This window comes from Homo sapiens, chromosome 22 (assembly GCF_000001405.40).
Source record: "Homo sapiens chromosome 22, GRCh38.p14 Primary Assembly".
Taxonomy (NCBI): Eukaryota; Metazoa; Chordata; class Mammalia; order Primates; family Hominidae; genus Homo; species Homo sapiens.
Genome location: NC_000022.11, coordinates 11,272,563 through 11,277,602, shown reverse-complemented (window position 1 = coordinate 11,277,602; position 5,040 = coordinate 11,272,563). Strand labels below are relative to the sequence as shown.

At 46.6% G+C, this 5,040-nt stretch overlaps 1 pseudogene; it reads right to left on the bottom strand.

Annotated features, from left to right (window-relative positions):
• Positions 1–943, bottom strand: DUX4L40 (double homeobox 4 like 40 (pseudogene); annotated as a pseudogene).

Below are 5,040 nucleotides of genomic sequence, written 5' to 3'. Positions count from 1 at the left end.
GGGATCCCCGGGATGCTCAGAAAAGAATGACAGCCCTCCTCTGAGTGGAGTCTCTCACGCGACCTGGAACTCAGGGATCCTAGGCAGGTCAGCTGGAAGGGAAGACACGCCTCTCCATACCGAGTCAGAGGTTCACCGCGAAAGAGAGGCCGCCGCCCTGCCCCTACCCCGCCCCAACCCCGCGTCCTAAAGCTCCTCCAGCACAGCCCGCTGTTCTTCCTAGCTGAGGAGTGCTTCCAGCGGAGCGGGCTCTTCCACGTCCTTCAGCTCCCCCAGTGGCGCCGGATCTAGGAAAGGTTGTGCCTTTTGCTGGAACTCTGGGGTTTACAGGAGCTCATCTAACTGGCTGGGGGTGAGTGTAGACGAGCGCCCCGGCTCCTGGAGCGGTTGGGAGGTGCCTGGATGGCTTGCATATGTGCTTGACGCGGAGGTCTCTGGGGTCGCCAGCTTCGAAAGTGGAGGTGCCCCGTCTTCGGTTTCCCACGCCGCCATGGCGACCTGGGGCTCCAGCCCCACCGCGGACTCTGGTGGGACGTGGGTGGCGCAAACATACTTTGCCCCTGTGACTCAGCTTGAGGGTACCCAAGCTGTCCCACTGAGCATGCACCCAGCAGGCCGCCGTGCTGCGGGTCCTGGTCCTCCTGGCATTTTTGGGGGTGCGGAGGCCACCGAGGAGTCTGAGGGTGGGACAGTCCTACTTCTAGAGGAGCCAGGGCAGCAAACACAAAATCCCAGCGTGCCGGGGCAGGTTGAGAGATTCCTTCTGCCTGCGCAGCCTGGCTAGGCTGGAGCGGTGGGACGGCCCTTGCTCCCTGGCTCACGAAAGCCCCCTGTGGGAGAGCTCCAGGCGTGCAGGGCCTGTGGGGTGCGGCAAGCCCAGTTCCCCATGCCCTGGTGTGGGTGAACTCGATTGAGGAGGGAGGAGGATGACACCTGCCGGGGGTGTTAATTAGTAACCAGAGTGGCCTCAAAGAGCTCAAATGAAAGGAAGAATTTCACGTCTCTCACTTGAAGTCCAGAGCTAGAAATGATTAAGCTTAGTGAAGATGTAAAATTTTCATGGCTAGAGAGATGTCCACACTTGGCTTCAAAACTTCAAAGGATGGGCTGACTCTCTTTGAGGACCACTGCAGTTGGTGACTTTAAGTTACAGCCAGTGCTCACTGACCACTCTGAAAATCTCAGAGCCCTTAAGAATTATGCAAAATCTATTCATTCTGTGCTCTAGAAATGGAACATTACAGTCCAAGTGACAACACATCTGTTAACAGCATGGTTTACTGAATATTTTAATCCCACTATTGAGACCTACTGCTCAGAAAAAACAACAACAACAAAAAAAAATTCCTTTAAAGGGATTGCTGCTTGGCCAGGCACAATGGCTCACACCTGTAATCCCTGCACTTTGGGAGGCCGAGGTGGGTGGATCACCTGAGGTCAGGAGTTCAAGACCAGCCTGGTGAAAATGATGAAACCCTGTCTCTAATAAAAATACAAAAAAATTAACCAGGCATAGTGGTGGTATCTGTAATTTCAGCTACTTGGGAGGCTGATGCAGAAGAACGGCTTGAACCCTGGAAGTGGAGGTTGTGGTGAGCCGAGACAATGCTACTGCCCTCCAGCCTGGGCAACAAGAAGGAAACTACATAAAGGCCAAAAAAAAAAAAGAAAGAAAAGAAAAAAAAGAAAAATATTGCTGCTTATTGACAATTCACCTAGCTACCCAAAAGCTTAGATGGAGATGTACTTGGAAATTAATATTATTTTCATGGCTGCTAATACAATATCTATCCTTCAGCCTGTGGATCAAGCAGTGGTTTTGACTTTCAAGTGTTTTTATTAAATAATAAATGCATTTTGTAAAGGTATATCTGTCATAGATAGTAATTTCTTTGATGAATCTGGATAAACTGAATTGAAAACCTTTTGGAAAGGTTTCACCATTAATCCTTTCATGATATTTCAACCTCTTCGTGTGAATCATAAATGTCCTTAATAGCAAATGCCATTAAGGACATTTGTGATTGATGGGAGGAGGTTGAAATATCAACATTAACAGGAGTTTGGAAGAAGTTGATTCCAGCCCTCATGGAAGACTTTGAAGGCTCAGGATGTCAGTGGAGGAAGTCCCTACAGATGTGGTAGAAATAGCAAGACAACCAGAATTAGAATTAGGGCCTTTAGATGAGATTAAATTGCTGTAAACTCATTATGAGACTTGAGCATCTGGGGAGTTGCTTCTTATGGATGAGCAAAGAAAATATTTTCTTGAGATGGAATCTACTCCAGGTGGAGACGCTACGAACATTGTTGAAATAACAACAAAGGATTTAGAATATTCCATAAACCTAGTTGATAAAGCAGCAGCAGGGTTTGAGAGGGTTTACTCCAATTTTTAAAGAAGTTCTACTGTGGATAAAATGCTATCAAACAGCATCACATGCTACAGGGAAATCTTTTGTGAAAGGAACAAAATTCATTGTTTTAAGAAATTTACAAAAGCACCCAACCTTCAGCAGCCCCCACACTGACCAGTCAGCAGCCATCAACATAGAGGCAAGACCCTCACTGTAAGAGAAAAGAAAGAGAGATCAGACTGTTACTGTGTCTATATAGAAAGGAAAGACGTAAGAGACTCCATTTTGAAAAAGACTTGTACTTTAAACAATTGCTTTGCTGAGAAGTTAATTTGTAGCTTTGCCCCAGCCACTTTGTGACTCAACCTGGAGCTCACAAAAACATGTGTTGTATGAAATCAAGGTTTAAGGGATCTAGGGCTGTGCAGGATGTGCCTTGTTAACAAAATATTTACAAGCAGTATACTTGGTAAAAGTCATCGCCATTCTCTAGTCTCAATAAACGAGGGGCACAATGCACTGCAGAAAGCCGCAGGGACCTCTGCTCTTGAAAGCGGGATGTTGTCCAAGGTTACTCCCCATGTGATAGTCTGAAATATGGCCTCATGGGATGAGAAAGACCTGACTGTCCCCCAGCCCGACACCCGTTAAGGGTCTGTGCTGAGGTGGATTAGTAAAAGAGGAAAGCTTCTTGCAGTTGAGATAGAGGAAGGCCACTGTCTCCTGGCTGCCCCTGGGAACTGAATGTCTCAGTATAAAACCTGATTGTACATTTGTTCAATTCTGAGATAAGAGAAAAACCGCCCTATGGTGGGAGGCGAGACATGTTTGCAGTAATGCTGCTTTGTTATTCTTTACTCCACTGAGATGTTTGGGTGGAGAGAAACATAAATCTGGCTTACGTGCACGTCCACTCATAGTACCTTCCCTAGAACTTAATTGTGACATAGATTTTTTTGCTCACATGTTTTTTGCTGACCTTCTCCTTATTATCACCCTGCTCTCCTACTACATTCCTTTTTGCTGAAATAATGAAAATAATAAGCAATAAAAACTGAGGGAACTCAGAGGCTGGTGCCTGTGCAGGTCCTTGGTATGCTGAGCGCCGGTCCCCTGGGCCTACTGTTGTTTCTCTATACTATGTCTCTGTGTCTTACTTCTTTTCTCAGTCTCTTGTCCCACCTGACTAGAAATACCTACAAGTCTGGAGGGGTGGGCCACCCCTTCACTCACCAGCAAAAAGTTTATGACTTGGTAAGGCTCAGATATTCATTAGTATTTTTCAGCAATGAGGTATTTTAAGTTAATGTATGTACATAGTTTTGTAGACATAATGCGATTACTAATTAATTAATTAATAATTATTAAATACTCATTAGACTACAACATAGTTTAAGCATAACTTTTATAAGCACTGGGAAACAAAGTGTTTATGCGATTAACTTGTTTGTAACATTTACCTTATTGTGGTTGTCTGGAACCAAACCCACTATCTCTGAGAATGCTTGTAGGTTTTTGGTTGTTCTTTGTTTTGAGATAGGGTTTCACCTGTCACCCAGTCCAGAGTGCAGTGGCATGATTATAGCTCACTGCAGCCTCAAACTGCTGGGTCAAGTGATTGTTCTACCACAGCCTCCTTAGTAGCTGGGACTACAGGCATGCAGCACTATGCCTGGCTTTTCTTTTTTTTTTTTTTTTTTTTTTGAGACGGAGTCTCGCTCTTTTGCCCAGGCCAGAGTGCAGTGGTGCTATCTCGGCTCACTGCAAGCTCCACCTCCCTGGTTCATGCCATTCTCCTGCTTCAGCCTCCTGAGTAGCTGAGACTACAGGCGCCCAAACCAGGCCCAGCTAATTTTTTTGTATTTTTAGTAGAGACGGGGTTTCACCGTGTTAGCCAGGATGGTCTCGATCTCCTGACCTCGTGATCTGCCCGCCTCGGCCTCCTACAGTGCTGGGATGACAGGCGTGAGCCACCTCGCCCGGCCTGCCTTTTCTTTCTAGTGGCACAAGCCCCGTGGAGTGTGGTGTGTCTGATCTCCAATGCTTTTGAACAGTGTAGACAGTATTCCTGTCTGAATTTAATTTTTTACTACACGTATGGTCTCGATCGACCACAAGAAGATCAATAAGCCCTTCTCCTTATTCTACTTCCCTTTCTAGCAATGGAGAACTTTGATTGGATTTTTCCTGCCTACAGACAGGAATGAGTCTGCTGTTTTCTTTTTTAAACCCGAGGGGACTGAGCCTGAGGGCCTCGAGCGCGGCCACCCTCCCCCAACCCCCAACTGGTGATTGTGGTGGTGGTGGTTTTGTGTTCCAGCTTCTGTTTTGTTGTTGTTGTTGCTGCTGGTGGTGCTGTCGTCATTGTTTTGGTATCTTACAGACTCAGGGGGTGTACGTGCTTGTTTGTTAGATCGGCCTACTGCTGCCTCTGGTTGTAGAAGTGGATCTCCAGTGTATCCGATACCCACGTGGCGAACATTGTCTCTGACAGGTGATTTATTCATCCCTTGTCCCCCTCTTACCCTCCTCCTCCCTTTTGGAGTGTCTTCTATTTCCATCTTGATGACCGTGTGCGTACCCACTGTTTACCTCCCACTTGTAAGCAGAAGGCAGTTCACTGGGTACATACTTGCTTCCAGCTCTATCCATATTGTGGGAAAAGACGTGAAATCGCTCTTTT